The 21221-nt window shown below is 36.1% G+C and overlaps 2 protein-coding genes across 4 annotated transcripts in view, besides 2 other annotated features; both read right to left on the bottom strand.

Moving 5' to 3' along the window:
• The window catches only part of TBCEL-TECTA (TBCEL-TECTA readthrough), a 167389-nt gene that overhangs the window by 121894 nt on the left and 24274 nt on the right, over nt 1-21221 (bottom strand). The window contains exons 4-7 of the mRNA NM_001378761.1: nt 15865-16046; nt 14289-14545; nt 11126-11252; nt 9512-9628 (exon numbers count right to left, since the gene is read on the bottom strand). Of these exons, the coding sequence (NP_001365690.1) occupies nt 9512-9628; nt 11126-11252; nt 14289-14545; nt 15865-16046 (683 nt within the window). The remainder of the gene's footprint in view (nt 1-9511; nt 9629-11125; nt 11253-14288; nt 14546-15864; nt 16047-21221) is intronic.
• Nucleotides 1-21221, bottom strand: part of TBCEL (tubulin folding cofactor E like) — a 66675-nt gene that overhangs the window by 21180 nt on the left and 24274 nt on the right. For all 3 annotated transcript variants that reach the window (NM_001363644.2, NM_152715.5, NM_001130047.3), the window contains 4 exons: nt 15865-16046; nt 14289-14545; nt 11126-11252; nt 9512-9628 (listed from right to left, as the gene is read on the bottom strand). In NM_001363644.2, coding sequence (NP_001350573.1) covers nt 9512-9628; nt 11126-11252; nt 14289-14545; nt 15865-16046 — 683 coding nt within the window. The remainder of the gene's footprint in view (nt 1-9511; nt 9629-11125; nt 11253-14288; nt 14546-15864; nt 16047-21221) is intronic.
• Nucleotides 1936-2080: an enhancer, noted in NCBI's record as "145 bp enhancer 256 fragment used in the MPRA reporter construct; PK_construct_1669". NCBI's record gives its function as "activates an SV40 promoter by MPRA in HepG2 cells {active_cell/tissue: HepG2}" and the evidence as "EXISTENCE:reporter gene assay evidence [ECO:0000049][PMID:23512712]".
• Nucleotides 2002-2015: a transcriptional cis regulatory region, noted in NCBI's record as "HNF4 motif; enhancer activity is reduced when this motif is scrambled". NCBI's record gives its function as "necessary for full MPRA enhancer 256 activity {active_cell/tissue: HepG2}" and the evidence as "EXISTENCE:site-directed mutagenesis evidence [ECO:0005528][PMID:23512712]".

The raw sequence follows: 21221 nt of genomic DNA, 5'->3' as shown, positions 1-21221 counted from the left end.
CAGGTCTCGAACTCCTAACTTCAAGTGATCCACCCACCTCGGCCTCCCAAAGTGCTGGGATTACAGGAGTGAGCCACTGTGCCCAGCTCCCACTTACTACTTTTCACTAGTCATATCAAATTGTTGTAGTTCACTGCACATAAAGACATTTCATACCTCTGTACCTTTACTTCCCATGTACTCACATCTGTCTAGAATATTCTTCCCTCATCGTCACCAGATTAACTCAATCATTTTCCAGGAAAGTACCCTCTTCCAGCAGACCTAAGTCCTCCTTAGTGTTCTCAGAGTATAAAGCGAATATTCAATCATCTTACTGAACAGTTGCTATACTGCCAGGCACCGCTCTAGGCACTGGGGAGATGGCAAGGTACAAAACAGAAACAGTCCCTACTCCTATAGAGCTTACAGTACCATGGGGGGAGATTGACAATATACAAGAAATGTAACTCAGGTGTTGATAAGTGACAAGAAAAATATTAACAAAAGGAGGTTAAGAGAATTATAGGAGACAGAGGTGTGCTATTTTAGACTGGGTGAGGAGAGAAGGAATCTCGGATAAGGTGTCAGCGAGGGAGAGAATGAAGCAGGTAGCCTGGTGCATTCTCAACAGGGAACAAAGTGCAAAGGCCTGAGGAGGGAGTGTGCTTGAAGTGTGTCAGGAACAGTAAGGACAGTTTCTGTTTTTTGTCTGTTTTTTTTTTTTTTTTGAGACGGAGCCTTGCTCTGTCACCCAGGCTGCAGTGCAGTGGTGTGATCTCAGCTCACCGCAACCTCCGCCTCTCGGGTTCAAGTGATTCTCCTCCCTCAGCCTCCAGAGTAGCTGGGATTACAGGTATGCACTACCATGCCTAAGTAATTTTTTTTGTATTTTTAGTAGAGACAGGGTCTCTCCATGTTGGTCAAGCTGGTCTTGAACTCCCGACCTCAGATGATCTGCACACCTTGGCCTCCCTAAGTGGTGGGATTACAGGCATGAGCCACTGCGCCCAGCCTCTGTTGTTTTTTTAAAAATCAACTTGAGTTCTTAGAAACAGGCTGCTATGAGATGCACGGGCCTTAAGGGAGCAAGGGTGGACTCAGGGAGACTGGTCAGTAGGCTACTACAATAACACAAGTAAGATATGATGAAGGATTTGGACTAAAATGATAGGAAGCAGTAGTCAGATTCTATACATAGGTTTTGAAAGTAGAACTGAAAGAAAAAAAAAACAGACCAGATGTGGGGTGTGGGAGAAAAAAAATCAAGAATGACTCCAGTGTTTTTTCCCTGAGCAACTGGAATAATTGAAAAAAGGAGAAAAACTGGCAGAGCAGTAGCTATGGCACAGGGGGCTAGGGGTGAGGGAGGCAGGGTAAGGGAAAAGGGAGGGTATCGAAAGTTGAGTTTTGGACACACTAGGTTTAAACATCCAGGCAGAGGCATCAAGCAGGCAGCTGGAAAGCGCCGTCTGGAATTTAGAGGCAGATCACAGCTGCATGTATACATCTGGCAGTTATCAGAATACAGAAAGCACTGAAAGCCTCGGGACTGGCTAAAAGTGTGTGGGGGATGAGTACAGAAGAGAAGAGGTCCAAGGACTAAGTCCTGGGGTAACTCAAGTTTTAGAGGTTGGGAACATGAAGAGGGCCCAGCAAAGGAAATATATCTCTAGCTTAGCTTCTTGAGAGTAGACACTACTGTTTTTGTCTCTTTATCTCTAGCTTGAAGCCCAGTGCCTCTTGGTCCTTAGTAGGTATTCAGTAAATAAATTAAACTGTCCTTTGAAACCCAGCTAGAATCTAGAGTTATTTCCTAGAAGTTCTCCTGGTAAGGCCTGAGAGTCTAATAACTGAAATATGACCAGCCCAGTAAGGACATCTTTCCAGCTACCTGCAGTACACACTGAACTTATCTGGAAACAGCATATCACACCACTGCTATATAAGCCACTAAGAAACACGGCACAGATGACGGCTTTAAAAGAAAAGAGTCCATTGACTGGAAAAGCAAACAGTATGATGGTCAAAGGCCAAGAATCAGAAAACAGAGATTTTTCCTCTTCTCTTGTTTCACAAAGTAAATAAACATGAGACATATGGCTGATTGCTCAGTTTTTTGTTAGTCCATTATTGCCATAAGCAGCTAGAGCAGAGAGGCTAAACTTCCAGCTCTACCTATCAGAAGGCAATAAAAAGGATAATTGAGCACCTGTAAGAAATTATAAAGCTCTTAATAAGTATGTCTCCCTTCAGTCTCCTAAACATTTTACTCTTTTCATCATAAAAATTCAAATGATTCAGATTTTGCATTTCATCCTGGGATAGGAAAACAGGTATGTGAATCTCTGGATCCTCTTTAAAGTCTTTTATTGCCAAAATGACTAATCACATAGAAACAGATGTGTGTAAATAATCCAACTGACACACAAAATAACTTTGCTACCATAAAGGACATTCGGCTCATCATGTCGGCTCTTTATTCATAACCTCAAAGACATTTTGGGTAACTTTTCTTACTTTATGTTAAAGTTAATTAGAGCTATTTCATGTTTAACTGACACGAGAGGAAAATAAAAGGAGGAAGAAAAGCTCGGGGAACCGAGCTAGGAAGGCTGTAGTGGAAGTTAGAATTTACAGGAAAATTGAGCTGAACACTGATTTTTAAAAAAATTTCATTAAATGAAAAAGAATGTTTTTCTTTAAATAAATGGATACCTCCATCCTACCTGGAAACTAAAGCTCAATTTTATATGAGACACTGAATGATGTAGAGGGTCAAATTCCACCTTTTACTAACTATACACAGTACTATGTGCTATTCATTGACATTTTAGGGAGAGATTATGGATATAATTTGGAAGAGAAAGAGATAAGTATAATACTAATACTCTGTTTATATATCGTTATTTCATAACAAATACATTTTAATGCAACTCCTCTGTTGTTATTCGCCACTCACTCTGGCCATCAGCATGAATACTATTATAGTTCCTTTTTAAAAGCCTAACAGTTCCTGGCATACTGCAAGGGCTCAAAAGACATTTGCTGAGTAAATGGGTAATTCCACAGGGGACTTGTATCAACAACTACTAAGGAACAGGTACTATAGTAGATATATGCCAACTTTGGCTGTCCAGCATCTGAATGCCCTTCTGATTGGTAGAAAACCAAAGATAGGTAAGATGCAGGAACCACTTCCTACTATACAAACTGAAGAGGAGTAGATATTCTCTTTCTCCATTCCTTGGAAGCTAGAACATGGGAAGCTGATATAAGCCTGTCTAACTATAACTGGGATTTTAACTCTTAAGGAGTAATGCAAGGACACAAGGTCTAACAGAGATTATTCACAAGATACAGAACAGCAAAGAAGTCAAAGCACGGCTTTAAGTGTCTGAGGGCAATGAAGTCCAGCAACTTACTAATGACTGTAAAATGACCAGTGTCAGAAGCATATTGTTTGTATAGCGAGATACAGAAACCTTGGCTGTACCCTGCTTCCCATCAATCCTGCTCAAACTTAATTTTCTAATCTTTTCTATTATGTAAGCCACACAGTATTCATTATTCTTTTACTAAATTCCTCTTCTACCTTGGTTGGCCAGAATTGATTTCTGTTGTTTGCACTAAGAAACTGGTACCAAGGAGTGGATTAGAGGCAATAGTTCCTCAGGTAAGTAAGGGTAATTTAGGATTGGTTTCTGGCCTAGAAGAGGCCAGTAAATATCATATTAGTGTTGAAGGGATTCTGTAAGCCCTCGACATGGAGTAATGAAACAATTATCACCTGTGGTCACATGGACTGTTTTAGAGAGTGCTGTGCTGTGCTGGTGATTTAGAGAGTGCTGTTGAGAAAAGAACAATATGCAGGGCATGAAGAATTCAAAACTATGAGGTAGAGCATCTGCTATTCTAAGGATACAAGATAGCTTAAATACAGAAAATGTTAAGGTCAAATCCCCATAAACTAGGCTTTAGGCACAGACTGAAATGCAGGTACTGTTAATAAAATGATCTTTTTTCTCTTACAAAAATAGAGCTGATGTAACCAGAAACACAAATGCACAGGGTTTGATGCTCTAGGTTGCTGAATTATAAGTCCCTTAAATTTGCATACATATTGAGACTATTACATATATGTTGCAGAATTGATTAGAAAACAGAAAGAAGGAGAATTGGAATGGAGGTATACAGGAGGATTCTGAGGAGATGAGTTAAGAGTATCCTCAATCTCTAATTCTCACTTAGGCCCCCCTTGCTAACTGGGTAGCCCCTCTTCCCCTGGCAAATGAAACTGATCTTTTCTTGCTTGCAGAGGCAGTAAAATCCCCCTGCCTGAGAGAATTTTCTTCCAAGAATAAACTTATTCCCGTTCACTTTGCTCTACTAGCTCAGATAACAGCATGCTCAGTAGGGTTAATTACAAAACACCAAAATAATTGCAAGGCTTTAGTTATTTATATGGAAAAACGTACAGAAAATAAGTATGGGCCGGGTGCAATGGCTCACACCTATAATCCCAGCACTTTGGGAGGCCGAGGCAGGCGGATCACGAGGTCAGGAGATCAAGACCATCCTGGCTAACATGGTGAAACCCCGTCTCCACTAAAAATACAAAAAAATTAGCTGGGCGTGGTGGCGGGCGCCTGTAGTCCCAGCTACTCGGGAGGCTGAGCAGGAGAATGGTGTGAACCCGGGAGGCAGAGCTTGCAATGAGCCGAGATTGCACCACTGCACTCCAGCCTGGGCGACAGAGTGAGACTCCTCCTCAAAAGAAAAAAAAATTAAAAAGAAAATAAGTATGATAATGGAGATTATAATTATTATTGTGTCACTCATGTCCTTCTACCTGTTCTCCGTTACAAATCCTAAAAGGACCCAGAAGACATTTCCTACTCCAAGACCTTGAAAATATATTAGGAAGTAGAGCACCCATATATCTGAAAACACTTTACAGGTCAGGGATGCAGATAGGAGACACTGAAATCAGGTTGCCATTTCAATTTAATGAAGGATGGAAGAGACCAAGCAGTGGCATTGAACCACTAGTGCATAGGAAAGTAGGCATAATTATATAAATAGCAAGGCCAGAACAGTAAGTAAAATAGTCTGAATGCATGAATCTTTTCCAATAGCTAATTGGTCCTGGAATCTTTAGGATTAGAATAAATAGGTGGTCTGTGAATCTGTTTCAACAAAAACACTAAAGCAAAAGCAACACCACTTCCCTAAAAGGAAACAGAAAGACATTGCCACCACTAAAAACTGGATGATGACTACTTATCATATTCCCATTTAACTCTTCATTAAGTACGGGTCTTGAAGAACAAAAGTGATACCAGTTATCCTTTGTAAGAGTAGACAGGTCTGCAAACTCAAGGGTAAATGTGAAAAACACAATACAGCTCATGATTACATCTAGTGACTAACTTGCAAAACTCTTATTTCATATTCCTAGGTTTAGCGGCTTTAGAACCCAAAGGCATGTCTGCACTAGTGCTACAACAATTATTCCAACTGGAAGCTGAGACTTCCAAGTACTGAATTTAAGTTCTACAAATTACTAGGAAAAATCATCCCCTACCCACAAGCCCCACTTAAAAATGAGCTTGTCAGCTAAGATAAGTAATCTTGACTGTCAAGGAGAAATACAAGAGGGGTAATATACGAGTGTGGATGGAACCCTGGTGGTATCTCCTGGTATTACCAGGACTAGTGGTAAAAAGTAGATTAATCTAAGACTACTAAAACCAAATACAAGTAAAACTTCCAAAAGTGTAGATTCTACCAGAAAAGATTGAGATCCACCCCTCTCCCCCAACAAACAGGTACAGAACACTGTCCAACAAAGTTATGTGCAGGCAAAGTTAGGTGCAAGCGAAGAAAAAAAGGCAAATAATGGAAGAGGGAAGTCGTAAATACCAATTATAGCCCCAGTGTAGAAAAATGAGAGCATCAGTCCATATTTATATGTTGTTCTTTCCTGTTTCATGTAATTGCTTGTGAACTTTAACTTTCCTTTTCTTTCTTCTCTATTTTTCCCATTATTCTGTAAACACTATATACCAGGGTAGTTAAGTTTACAACTGGATCAATAGATTTAAAGATATGGAAATAAAGGAGAAATGAATACCACCCAAACATCCAAGACTGGGAACTAGATGCAGCAATTCATAAGATTTAGGTTATGTCATTTAAGGAGAGAGAAATGTATTTTCATTTGTGCAAGGAATGCATTAGGGCAGATAAGAATAATTTTTAAAAATATAACTATGGGGAAAATGTATGCGTAGATATTGAAGAGTCCTAGTAGAAGACAGTAACACTTACTATTTTTTTTTTCTGAATTGTTCCTATTTGAGTGAAAGTCCCAAGATCAGAGGAAACAAGATTTTACCCCACCTGCAGAAGCTAAAATGGAGCAGATAATCCACCTCCCTATATCTTGAGATGGGGTATGAATACATGTCCTAAACATAGCCAGTTGGTCCCATGCAGATTTTTGATTCTTGGGGAATGAAGTAAAGGCGAGTGAGAAATCCCATTAGAATATGAGCTCCATGAAGGTAGGAACTTTGTTCACTTCTATTAACTGCACCAACAACACTGCTAGTCACATGGTAAGTACTTAGTAAATATTTTTTAAATGGAGAAAAAAAAGGACAGTGAGAGATTATTTTCAGCACTCATGAGGGAATAAAAAGTCCAATGATGCAGCTGCAAGTGTCCAGTGGTAAAGTCCAGCATGTGGTGTCTAGAGATGACAGTGCCAGCAGCAATATATGAAGCACAACAAGAGTTCAAACTGTATCTATCCTTGACTCCCTTGGTTCCTGTCTAAAGTTGGTTTTCCATCCTACCTAACAATTATTTTCATTTCCCAGTAGTCTTTCAATAAATTCCTTTCCTGAATAAAGTTAATCAAAGCTGGTTTCTATGACTCGCATTCAAGAACACCAACTAGTACAGAAGTATAAATGCACTTAGGATAATTATACCATCAGGGACAGAAAACAATTCACTGTACAGTTAGGTGCCACATGAAGACATTTTGGTCAACAATGGACCACAGATACAACAGTGGTCCCATAAGATTACAATGCAGCTGTGACATCTTAGCATCATAACGCAACATATAACTCAAGCACTTGAGTGACGCTGGTATAAACAAACTTACTACACTGCTGTATAAATGTACAGCACATAAAATTATGTACAGTACATAATACTGGATAATCAATGACCATGTTACTGGCTTACGGATTTATTATACTATTTATCATTATTTCAGGTGTACTCCTACTTATAAAAAAAAGAAATTAACTGTAAAACAGCCTCAGGCAGGTCTTTCAGGAGGTATTCCAGAGGAAGGCACTACTATCATAGGAGATAAAGACTCCATATATGTCACTGCCCTGATGACCTTCTAGTGAGAAAAGATGTGAAGGTGGAAGATAGTGATATTGATCCTGACCATCAGGATCAGGATAGTGTTTTGTGTGTTTGTGGCTTCATTTTCAATTAAAAAAAAAATTTAAAAAGTAGAAAAATAAAATTTTAAAAATAATGCTTATAGAATAAAGATATGAACAAAATGCTTTGGTACAGCTGTACAATGTTTGCATTTTAAACTAAATGTTATTACAAAAGAGTCAAAACGTTTTAAAAAATTAGAAAGCTTATAAAGTAAAAAAGTTAAACTAAGCTAAGGTTGATTTACTATTAAAGAAAGAAAAAAATTGTATAAATGTAGTACAGCCTAAGTGTACAGTGTTGATAAAGTCTATAGTAGTGTACAGTAATGTCCTAGGCCTCCACATTCACTCACCACTCACTCACTGACTCTTCCACAGCAAACTCCAGTCCCGCAAGATTTTCGTGGTAAGTACCCTAGACAGGTATAGCAGTTTTTATCTTTTATACCATGTCGTCACTGTACCTGTTCTATGTTTAGATGTATTTAGATACACAAATACTTACCATTGTGTTACAACATTCATTATAGTCACATGCTGTACAGGTTTATAGCCTAGGAGTAATAGGCTGTACCATATAGCCTAGGTGTGTAGTAGGCTATACCACCTAGGTTTGTGTAAGTATACTCTATGATGTTTGCAACATAAAATCACCTAATGATAAATTTCTCAGAACATGTCCCTGTCATTAAGCAATGGATGACTGTATGGACGTATGTATGTATGTATGTACATGTATATATATATATGTGTATGTGTGTGTCTGTCTACATACAAAAAACCTTTTGTAGTAGACTGGAAGTTAAATAAACTCTGATGGCAGACTTATGCTCAAAGCTATAATATTTATTAATCTAACAAATCCATTAATATGTTAGATTAAACCAAATGAAACCATAGATACTATAGCATTTTTTACCTAAAAAAAATTTCATCTGGTTTAACCTAATATACCTAGGTTGTGTTAAATGATAAAGTAGTATCTATTTTCCCCTACCTAGTTGTTCTCAGATTGTTTTTAAAAGTTATCTTAAAAATCTCACTTAATTTGTCTGATATTCTTAAATGCTTAGGCTTTAAAACACTACTGATGATACCACAAAGTCTTGTTATATGACACTGATTGAGACTTATAGAATGTTAACCCCCTTAAAATCTACAAACAATAGAGAACTTTGGGGGGAAAATAGACACATTCAATAAGAATGAATTAGAACCACAGAATAAATTAAAGCCACAGACATTCTGTAACCAAAAGAACAACTAATGTGACTCACATTCAGGCTGTTTGTCTAAAACTCCTCCAGTCAAATGGGTATTCATATTATCCTTAAAGTCATTAAGGAAGAAAAGCACATAACTTTTCCAATAACCGATTCTAGTTATCAATACCCAGAAACCTGTTTTGGGGGGTATTTTTTTTTCTTGAATGTTTGCCTATATCATACCTGCTACATTTCCTTTTACATTTACAGAATTAAAGTTAGTTCCTCACTAGACAATATTTATTAACTCTTCATATACTTAAAGATATTTACTAATTTAGCCCTCAGCATTTCTCTTTATATTCACCATACTAATTCCTTTAATATTTCCTCAAGAGTCTATTTTCCAGTCCTTTTCTCATATTCATATTTTGTGAACTTACTGCACATTTGCCAAATCTTCCTAACCGGAGAACTTAGTATATCCTAAAAGTAGATCCAACATGAATGAACAGACTAATTTGGGGGGGTAGGTAAAAATGTACCCCAAAGAAAAAGATCAAAAAAGAATCAGTGATATGGAGTATGCAGCAGGAACTACTGGAATTGTCAAATACTTACCCAATCATTCTTAATACATGTGTTAATACATGTGCAAAGCTGAAAGAAATATACTGTGGAAAATGAGATAAAATAGGTTTGCTCTTGTGTTTCTTCCTTTTTTTTAACGTATTAACAAAGTTCTCTAAGAAGGGTCCAATAACAAATGATTAGATTTTGCTCTAACACTAGAGTTCTTAACTGGCATCACCACCCTCTAAAGTGTTTGGCCAATGGGGAATTTTTTACCTGAATGGCACTTCTTCCTGTGGAACATCCACATAGTAACGAATAAAAAATCTCTCAGAATCTTCTCGTTCACCATCAGTAACAACGCTGCCATTAAGTTTGGAAACTGATGGCAATCTATAAGTTAAAACCAAAATAAAGACATTTTTTAAGATACTAATATATTTAGCTTTAGAAAGAAACTAATTGGCTTGTGGCCCAGTCTTATTTTCTTGAAAGGACACATTTGATGTAGTTCCATTTGTATACAACTACTGACATGAACTAAAGTGGTCTAAACCGAAAGGACAAAAAAAATTGAGTTTCACTTTCATGTGACACTGAACTTTCATAATCATACCTCCCCTTGCACAACAAGATTCTAGGCAGCACTGTCCAACTTACATTAATATAATGAAGCCACATATGTAATTTTAAATTCTTTAATGGCCGCATTTTTAAAAAATAAAAATTAAACACATGAAATTAATTTTAATAATATATTTCACTTAACCCAATGTATCCAGAATATATAATCATTTTGACATGTAATCAATATTTTTAAATGAGCTAATTTACATTTTTAGTCATATAAAATATTTGAAATCCAGTATTTATTTTACCCTTATAGCACATTTCAATTCAGACAAGACATATTTCAAGTACTCATAGCCACACATAGCTAATGGCTACCATATTAAACAGCCCAGTCTAGAGAGTAGTCAGTAAAACTGGGTTATATAATTCAAGAATTAACTTATTATATTTGCAAAAGAATTGTGTAAAGAAAATAAAGCACAAGACCTACTGCAAGACGTATTCTTCAAAGAAAAGTATGCTCACATTTATTTCTTCAGAAAGATATTAATGTGTACGTTAACAACTGCAAAGCATAAGGATCTGCTAAGCATTAGATTGTCACAAAGATCAACAACCTGTTTAAAGAACCACTCTTCTTTAGAGAACCTTAAAGCCTACAGTTCCCCTTTCAAAACTGCTATGTATAGTATACAAAGAGAAAAAAAGCAAAGCTCTATGGCCCTTGCATTTTAGCCTAAATCTTATTTCTGCTAAAGGTTCATACAAAAATAAATACTCATGGGAAATTCCCGAGTATGTGGAGGCAGAGGCTGAGACACAAAAGGCAAGGGGAGTCAGACAGAAGATAATAATTGTGGTCATATTTAAGTCAATCTACATTCAAGAAGAAAATGCAGATGCTGCCCTCTTAAGTTTTCCACTAATGAAACAGCCCAAGTTTCAGGAATTTACAATCTAAATGATCAACATGTTAACAGAGAAAATAAGAATAGAAATGATTCCCTACTGTACGTACTTTTACTTTGTGACCCAAAACAGGACTTCAAATATTCTAAGTATTGAAAAGCATAAAAACAGATTTGTAGAAATATTTTTCAGTGGTGTCAGCAGCCCAATTACATCTCATGTTTTCCTCATCATAGTGCTCGCATTCCTTTTCATCCAGGATTTGGAGCTACAGGGGCAGCTCCCTCAAGCACAGTCTGCTCAAAGGATGAATAATTTCATAGTGCACTCCCACTAAACAGTGCATTATTCCTTTAATGAAACAATAAGGCCTCACAAAAATAAAGCAAAACGATCAGGACAACAGACCTGGCTATTACCAATTTCCTTCGCTCCTCGGTGGTATATGGCTGCAGAAGAGGAATTCCTAACAATCTCACTTCTTCCAGTTTGGGAAATGAATTTAGTTTATCAATGTCTTCCCAGGACTGCAAACCTAATTTGAGAACATATTGTTTAAGTAAATCCAGAGATGCACATAAATAAGAAGAGAAACATAGCAAAAATATTAGCTCAATTAGTAACTTCTGAAATGTTAAAATGATCATAAACTAAACGGTCTGAAAGTTTTCTTCATCCAAGGCAAGAGCAGAACACAGTTAAAACCACAAAAACTTCCCCATAGCCTCTCCTACCTCTGTGATCCACGGGTTAAGAGAGTGTTATTGTCTAACATCCTCTCATCTACTCATTTTCTACCAAAGTGACTTATAAAGAGGGGTCACTGGTAGTAGTTTCATCAATAAGCAGGATGTATGCCATGATTACGTAATTTAAAGAAAGCTATGTGACCAACTCATTTCACTCAAATATAGACTCATGGAATAAAACTATCGATCAGAGTTGATACTAACATACTCAAATTTTTACCTGAAAAATTCTAAAATGAGGCAAGGTCAACAGAACCAGAAACTAAATACAGCTGTCCCTCGTATCCATGGGGGACTGGTTTCCAGGACCTCCTACAGATACCAAAATCCGCAGATGCTCAAGTCCCTTATATAAAACAGTATAGCATTTGCATATAACTTACACAAACCCTCCTGCATACTTTATCTCTAGGTTACTTTTAATAGCTAATACAATGTAAATAATTGTGATACTGTATTGTTTAGGGAATAATGACAAGAAAAAAGTCTGTGCATGTTCAGTGCAGACACAACTACCCTTCTTCCCCATGTATTTTCAATCTGCAGTTGGTTGAATGCATGGATGAAGTCCATGAATATGGAGGGTTGACTGTATTATCAATTTGGTGACAGGAGAGATGGATCTAAAATTTAAAACAAACAAAAACAAAAAACCTGAACCTTTGAGTAAGGAGAATATGTAACAAATTAAGATTTTTAGTCCTAAAATGAAACTCTTCTTATAGCTATGAGAAAATGTATTCTCCAAGTCAATACTTGACTTCTAAGTCAGGTAGGTCTTCCACACAGGAAAAATTTTTCTATAATAATGAAGCTGGTCAATTTTACAATGCATCATCAAGTCTATTTCATAGAACAACATAGTCCCATCCTATTTTTATCAACCTTCAGCAAGGGTAAAGACAGAGGAGCAATTTATGAGGTCTCTGGTGTGTAACTACCCCAAGTCACAACTATCCTCATCCCTTAGAATGGCATTTCCATCAAGGAGGAAGAAAAGTTAGCTCAAGGGGTGACAAGGTGAAATAAACAGCTTCCTTATGCAAAACACTGGATTTTAAAACTTATTTCCCACTTTTAAAACCTCTATGGTAAATTAAACTAAGTTTATGTTTCTTCAGTTGTAGGTTAGAGTTATTTCTAATTATGTAGGTATTTTCAGAAATAAGCTAAAAGACAACATCAAGAGAATGAGAAAAAAAGTCACAGACTGGGAGAACGTATTTGCAGAAGACATATCTCATAAAGAACTGTTATTCAAAATATACAAAGAACCCTTAAAACTTAATAATAAGGAATAAAAAACAATCTGGCTACAAAATGGGCCACAGACCTGAACAGACACCTCACCAAAGAAGACATACTGATAGCAAACAAGCATATGAGAAGATGTTCAATATCATACATCATTAGAGAATTGCAGATTAAAACAAGATACCCCAATATACCTATTAGAATAGTCAAAATCCAAAACACTGAGAACATCAAACTCTGGTAAGGATGTAGAGCAAGAGGAACTCTTGAACTGCTGGTGGGAATGCAAAATGATACAGCCACTTTGGAAGACAGTTTGGCAGTTTCTTATAAAACTAATCATAATCTTACCATACGATCCAGCAGTCATGCTCCTTAGTATTTACCTAAATGAACTGAAAACTCATGTCCACACAAAAACTTGCATACAGATGTTTACAGCAGCTTTATTCATAACTGCCCAAACTTGGAAGCAACCAAGATGTCCTTCAGTAAGTAGGTGAGTAGATAAAATAAACTGTAGTACATCCAGAAAATGGAATAGTATTCAGCACTAAAAAGAAATGAGCTATCAAGCCATGAAAAGGCATGGAGGACTTAAAGGCATATTCCTAAGTGAAAGAAGCTAATCTGAGAAGGCTACATACTGTATGATTCCAACTAGATGACATTCTGGAAAAGGCAAAACTATGCAGATAGTAAAAAGATGAGTGGTTGCCGGGATTGGAGGGGGTAAATAGGTGGCGCACAGAGGATTTTTAGGGCAGGGAAACTATTCTGAATGTTACTACAATGGTGGATACATGTCACTACACATTTGTGAAAATCCGTAGAATTTACACCACCAATAGTGAACCCTAAGGTAAATTATGGACTTGAGTGATAACAATAAATCAACATAGGTTCATTGACTGAAATGGTACAAATGTACCATTTGTACCATTTGCTATGTACAAATGTACCATTTTGCTATGGGACACTGACAGTGGGGGAAGTTGTATATATGTGGGAACAAGGGGTATATGAAAACTCTCTGTACTCTCTGTTGAATTTTAATGTAAACCTTAAACTGTTCTAAAAAATAAAGTTTATCAATAAAAAAAGAAATAAGCTAAATAAATTCATTCCTGTGATACACAGGATCAAATGGCAATAAACTGACAATCAATTACATACAGATACTAAAAAAGTCAGCATTTGAAAAGACAGCAGGTTGGGATTTCTTAAACTAAGTCCAGATAAAATGGTCTATTTTGTAATTCTTTGTACTATTTTTACTGTGTCTTTTAATATCCAGTGCATCAATTTCATTTCACTTTTTTCATAGCATGACCCCTTTAATGTATAAAATATAAATTGTCAATGTAATGCTATGCCACTTAATATTTATCAGATCATTTATGAAAATGAATCTCTTAAATTTAGCCAATCATAGGCATCTGCATGTCATATAGAAAATTCACTCTAAAAAAGGTAAAACTGTGACTGAAAGAAATATACTTTCATTGTATTTCATGCATATGCTCAGGTTAATTTGCATGTAGAATAAGAACAAGCCTGAACCTCACCTGACTTGTGGAGGCTGATGGATCGAAGATTAGGAAACAACCTGGCCAATGAATCATCAGGCTCCTCAATAGCATTCAAATGATTGTTGGCCAGGACGAGGGTATCCAGTGAAGGAAACATAACTCCTAACTTTCGTATTTCAGTCCAGTCTTGGAGGTTATTGTCTGTTATATGTAGTAGCTTAAGAGAATGACAGCAAATAGAAGGACAAGACACTGTTTCATAGTCATTAAGGCACAGGAAGAGCTCCTCCAAACTGCAGAGAAAAAAGGAAATATTTCATTGTTTAAAGCAGTTTAATTTCTACTTTACACCTATTTTCATTCATTCAATAAATAAGTAAGTGCCTACTATATGTGAGACTCTGCTAGGAATTGTGGAGAAAATACCAAGATGTCTTCCTGAAGTTCAAAATATAGCTGGGAAGACAAAACCTGAAGTACACACTGAAATAGCGAAGAATGATATAAGGTAGTGCGAAATTACTTTTGTGCTTAAATAATTAAGTACTAAATTAAGCAGTACTGACTGTAAGTATAATAGCCATTCACATAAGAATGAAATTAAAATTATACTTAGAATAATCAGAAGAATACATGGCCTTGAAGGAGGGGAGGACTTCCATAAGTTGAAAGGAGATAGAAGAAAATTCCAGAAACAACATGAACAAATGTTTAGAAGTAGAAATAATAACGATCATTTATTGAATCCCTACCCTGTGTCAGACCCTATGCCAGGTGTATTATAGATTTTAGTCCTACTTCTGCAGGTAAATGCAATTATGCCCATTTTACAGACAAGGAAACTGAGCTCAAAGAAGTTAAGTAGCTTATCAAAGGTCATATGGTTAGTAGTGAAACTAGCACTTAAAAGCTCATTCTCTGCCATGCTGGGTGTTGGGTGCAGTGAGGAAACCAATCTCATTAGAGTTAGAGTGTGAAATTAAGACGGAATAAGATGAAGAGTGTGAAATTAAGATGGACAAGATTCTAAAGGGCTTTGAGAATTTCCATATTTAGACAGTCAAAGAAACTACAGCCTCTTTAAATTTCCTTTGCACACTTACATGTAAATACAAAGATAGGGACAAACGAAACATAATAAAGCATGTTTTAATTGACAAAAATAAAATTTCTTTCTTAAATTTTTGAAAACAATACTAGGTCAATTTTCCCATCAGATCAGCTAGGCACTTAATCATCTGAATGTTAACACATTTTAGTGATACTATGACTTTTCCTCCCAAAGAAAAGGGCTGAGGCTCAATTCTCATATCAGAAGATTAAAACAGAGTAAGGCTGAGTTGATTTAGAGTGATAAGTGCTTCTCAGGGGTATTTTCTAGCTCAGAGATGACATATCCCATGTCTTGGTGCTACTCAACACTGAACATGTATTCCACTGGAAATGCTACTAGATTACCCTCACATTCTCATTCCAATAACTTCGTTTTTCTAACCTCTTTCTCCACTCAATCTGCAGTTCTAGTATTTCTTGCGTGGGAGATCAGCAGTACTCCTATGTACTAACACAGATGGCAACATAACTCCCTCGCCCTCATGCTCTCTGGGCTTACTCTGGTAACTCCTGTAGTATCATGTGGACCGTCTCCCAAGAAGCTTTGCTGTTGTTGAGGACAAGTTTGCGAACCCCAGAGAAGGACCCAGCACATGTTCTTTCTAAAACCGACAAATTCAGAGGGTTGGAACTCAGGTTTAGAAACTCCAACTGAGGAACATTTGACACAATTTTACTGACCTAAGGAGAAAAAAAGAAAAGCATTATCAGGCAGTAATCAGAGCTGTTAAATAGCAATCATGCTCAAGAAAGCCTAGAGGAGCTGGTCTCCAGGCAAAGGGCCATTTACATCAAGGAGTCCTATTATTTAGTGACGGTACTCACAGAGGGACATAAGTGATTTCAACAAACCTTGGCAAATAATTTAATCTTTCAATGAAATAGTGGCATAACTGACTGGTACATAACAGAACTTAATGGTAAAAAGGAAGATTTCCTATGTCGCCTTTAGAAAGGTTTCTGATTCTGCTCTATGTGACGTTCTCTTTGATAAGTGGAGAAAAGACAGTTTTGATGACATTTCTTAAAGAGCTGAGATTAGTTCATATAATCCTCTTCGAATATCTCCTTCCTCTCATTCTTGGCAAAATATTAAGGCTAATTAAAGGTTAAAATTCACCTGGTAACAATTCATGTGTTAAATTTGACTACATTATCACAATCACTTAGAAAACAGTTTCAATTTGGTTCAAAGATGTACCAAACTTTAAAATATGTTTACTCAAAAACAAAAAAAAAATCCGTAACTATATAACGAAAGGGAAAACAAGATTATCAACGATTTAGCTAGCAACTTGGTAGACAAAAAGGAAAAAAAGAAAATGAGCATTACTGACCTTAGCTATTTGGTCTGCATGGTACTAGTCTCTTTGATATAGTTTATTCATTAAATTCTCAAAACAACTTGCAAGATAATACTACTTTCATTTTAATAAATGAGGAATCTGACTAATAATTTGACTAAGGCCTTACAGTTACAAAGGTCACGTCTGGGATTTAAAACTCAGAGCCATTTTTCTTTCCAATATACCATATTTATACATCATAAATATAAGCAGAAAAAATGAATAAAGAAAACTGAAGACTAGTTGGCACAATCTGCGAGAAGGATCAGCTTAAACAAGTATGAAATAAATGCTAGATGTCCAGCAAATGTATTAAGCATCAAACAACCAGGCAATGTGGTAAGTAAAAGCTATAAGAAAAGGAGAAAAGAGTAGTTAGGATTAGTTTTAGAGTCAAAAAGCCTGGGTTCAAACGAGGTTCCAACACTTCCTAGCTGTGTGATTTCAGACAAGTGACTTAATCTTTCCAAATCTCAGTTTCCTCATTTGTAAAATAGGGAAAATAGTTCCCATCTGTTGGTAGGATTAAATGAGATACACATTAAAGTGCTTAGCATAGCAAGTGACACATTTTTTTGAAACTTGTTTCCCTACGTACCCCCAACTAGCATGTAAGCTCTATAAAAGCAGATATAGTACTTACCTACTTCACTACTGCATAGTGGACACTTATTTATTGAATAACTTAATGGCAAAAAATCATTTAATAAATGTAACTATTATGAACATAAGCATAATATGAACCATTATCTCAACCTTAGCTACCCATCGGAATCACTGACAGAATTTAAAATATGCTGATTCCAAGGTTCCACCATAATTACTGAATCAGAAGCTTCATAGGTGGGACAAGCTTCAGGGTTGCAACCTGAATATCTTTCTTTTCAGAGCTCCAGAAGTAATGCCAAAAGAGTATCCAGGAGGGAGAACCATGGGTAGAAAGAAAAAGTAATCTGTACTTTACATCAGATCTACTGTGTAAACATTGAGTTCAGGAGCTCTAAAATCAGTGAGAAGTAGATTAATTCCAAGAAGTTTCAGAAGAGTAGGTGAGAAGAAAAGGTTCCCTGCATTCACTATTTCACTTATTCCACACACTAACCCTATAAAGTGGGTACCATTTTTATCCTCATTTTACAAATGAAGAAATGAGCTGCCTTTTAGAGAAAATATACTAGGCTTCTGTTTAAAGTGTAAGGAATTTATACCAGTGTGCACATATTCTCTTGCTTGATCCCTTTTGCGATCAAATGGTACCAAACATTTGTGCAATATATGGCTAGTATTTGGAGCTCAGTCTGTGACCAAAACACAGCTAAATAGTTCATGCAGGAACCAATCTGTACTGCATTCTATGATTGAATACCGATACGAAGAACTTTCATACAGAAGATGCTTACCAGCTATACTTAACCTCTTTGTGGAGGTTGGAGGGGGACAGGAATTATGCTCCAACTAAAGCACGAAGAATAACTTATAGGACAACCCCAGTTAAATAAAAACAAAACATAAACCCTTTGCTAACTACTACCACTCATATTTTATTTTTATAATAAAGAGGAAAACGCTTTAAAAAATAGATAATTTAAGGGTTTTGAAACAATTTCTGGGAGATTTCCCAAGGCTAGCAGATATATGATGTAATCACCATGGTCTGCATCAGCATTACTGTACAGTGAAAATTAATATTCAGAATAATGACTTGTTAACCCTAGAATATCCTAAAAGGTAAAACTGAACTAGAATTTAATCATTCAAGCAGGAAAAATAACAAATGTTAGAAATAAATGAATATTTTCTTTAAAGGGATAAAATAAAAAAGGTTTTTTTGAGTAACCTCAAATTGATAAGACTCAGGAAGACATAATATTCATTACACAGATAAATTTACTTATGACAGAAAAACTTGCCAGTACCAAAAGCCGACAAACATTCCATGAGTTTCTAGGGCAGTATATTGACTTCTCTTTTTTAAATTCTAAAAATAAAAAAGACTCCTCTAACTGGAATGAGTATGCTCATGTGCAGAAACATGGAGATGAACTCAGATCACATTTTAGGTTTCTACAATTCTATGATGTAATAGGGGACCCTTTACTTTGGCTTCCAAAAAGGAAGAAACTGAAGATTTAAGAAAAATGGGAAAAGGGTTTTAAGACAACAATCTGTCATCTGTACCTAAGCTATTCTCTACCTTACCTGAGTGGCTACTTCCTCCCTCCTCTCAACCACTAGGTTTAATTTCTTTTATAAAATGGTTTTGATAAGGAATGGAGTAAAAAGAAGGTAGCTTGGGAAAGGTCAGACAAAGATCTACTCAGCCAAAAATTCAAGTCAAAAGCTAAAAAAAAATGCATTATTTTTAAACATAGGTGCCCAATTTTAGAAGGGTGAAGACAAATCTTTGCCTCCCCAGAAGTATTACTTCTCTCATCCATATTTATCTTAGTCTCTGGATATATAGCAGCCAGCAAATTAAGTTACAAAAGAAGTTACTCATAACCTATAATATTCTTGGTCATCCAAAAAACTAAGGGAAAAATTATACAACTGGTTCCACATTGCCCTATCAATACTGGCTGAAATAAATTCCGTTAATAGCTAAGGACAAATTATCTTTTTGGTAATCAGATATATGGGTTATAATGGGGTTGAAATGTAATGTCCTAAAACAGGCGACCTATGAAGCATTTGTAGCCTGGCCAAGAGTTTAATCAATCCTAAAAATCAACATTCTTTTGTCATATTTCTCCCTTTTCTATGTTCTGATATATCCTCTAGAAGACTGGGATCAACTACAGTTAAGGATAAAGAGGAAATATAAAGGAATGATGAAAACAAAAATAAATTAGAAAATGGATACCTGAAAGTAGCAGCAACAAATATTTACTTGAAAACTGCCTGAAAACAGACTATAGAGCACTTAGGAATACACAAACTGAGTATAAATACAGTATAAATAAGTATGTGACCCTCTGGATATATGTCAATGTGGCTTGAGAAAAATGTAACATAGACTTTTGTCTAAGCAGGGAAAAATGCTGAATTACTTAGTGTACACACTGTATACTGATCCATATTACACACATCTTCCTCCTGAGGTAGCAACTACATCACTATTAAACTGTTCCCACCAATTAGCAAAAGCTTATATACATGGTCCAGGCACAAAACCTTTGTAAAATTTTGTATTTCCAAAGAAACAAATTTGAAGTGCAGATAAAGCATGCATGGCAGTTAAATGTTGCAGAGGACCAAGAAGGCACAATCTGTAATTTGTTAAACAGTAAACTATACAAGTTGTTCAGATAAGTAAATAAATATATATACAAATAGAAATTATTTTTTAGAATAGCCCTATAAATTTGCATATGTTAATAAATCACTTAGAAATAGGTGACATGCATTGCAAAGAATTTTGGTTAAAATCCTAATAAAAGTAGGAAATATAACCACGAACACAGTTACCAGATTTAACAAGGGCATAAAATAGAGAAATTTAAGAAAAGCTTACCAAAACTAGGTTATGGATAGGTTTTTCTTAAACAAGAAATCTGTCTTAGGATTTGTATAGCATTCAATATCTACTAAGTGTTTCAATGATTAATTTTATCGGCAAGCCTACCTTATGGATAAGCAAACTAAAGCTCTAAAGGATTAAGTAAATTTCTTAAGATCACAGGAAAAGTTGGAACAAGAGGTCTTGATTAATCCTTAAGATATAATCATTTAATCATTAACGCACTCAACAAATATTTGACTACTTGGTATGCTGGGCTTATGATAAAAAAAAGATAAAAATCTCCACTTGGAATAAGCTCATAGTCTATTAGGAAAACTGTCAAGTAAGCAAGTCATTATACAAGACTGTGATAAATCCTTTCACAGTGGTATAGTGTAGGTGCTCTGCGATAATCTGACTCTGTCTGTGAGACAGCCAGGGAAAATTTCACAGAGGAATAGCAACTTGGGCCAAGTCTTGAAGGATAAATAGGAAGTGGCCAGGTAGACAAGAAAAGAAAGAGAGCAGTGGGTTCAGAATGAATAAAAGCAAGGAAGCTTTTTATTTTGAGTTTATCATGAGCTGCAAGTAAAAGTATATGGCTAAAGAGGGAGAAAAAGTTCTAGAAATAGCAAAGGGCCATATGATGAAGGGTCATGCTTATAGAGTCAGACTTTAGTTTCTAGGCAAAGAAAGGCAACTGTAGGCCTTTATGCAGGACAGTGTCATAATCATGAGTCATATATTAAAAGGAGTCTGTGGTAGCACTACGGAAGACAGCTTAGCAGAAACAGAATAAAGCTGGATCCAGGAAAACCCATTAGGAAAGTCTTCCTAAAGTCAAATCAAAAAATAAGAGCCCAAATTAAGGCAGAAGAATGAACCAAGTAGGAAGAACATTTTAACCTTCTTCTTCAGGGTAGCTCCTATCAGGTAATGTTATAAGCAGGTAGGTAATGTTACATATAATAATAAGAGAATGTTACAAAACTGTATTTGTGTACTTTT

This window comes from Homo sapiens, chromosome 11 (genome assembly GCF_000001405.40).
Source record: "Homo sapiens chromosome 11, GRCh38.p14 Primary Assembly".
Classification (NCBI taxonomy): domain Eukaryota; kingdom Metazoa; phylum Chordata; class Mammalia; order Primates; family Hominidae; genus Homo; species Homo sapiens.
This window is presented reverse-complemented; position numbering and strand designations above follow the sequence as displayed.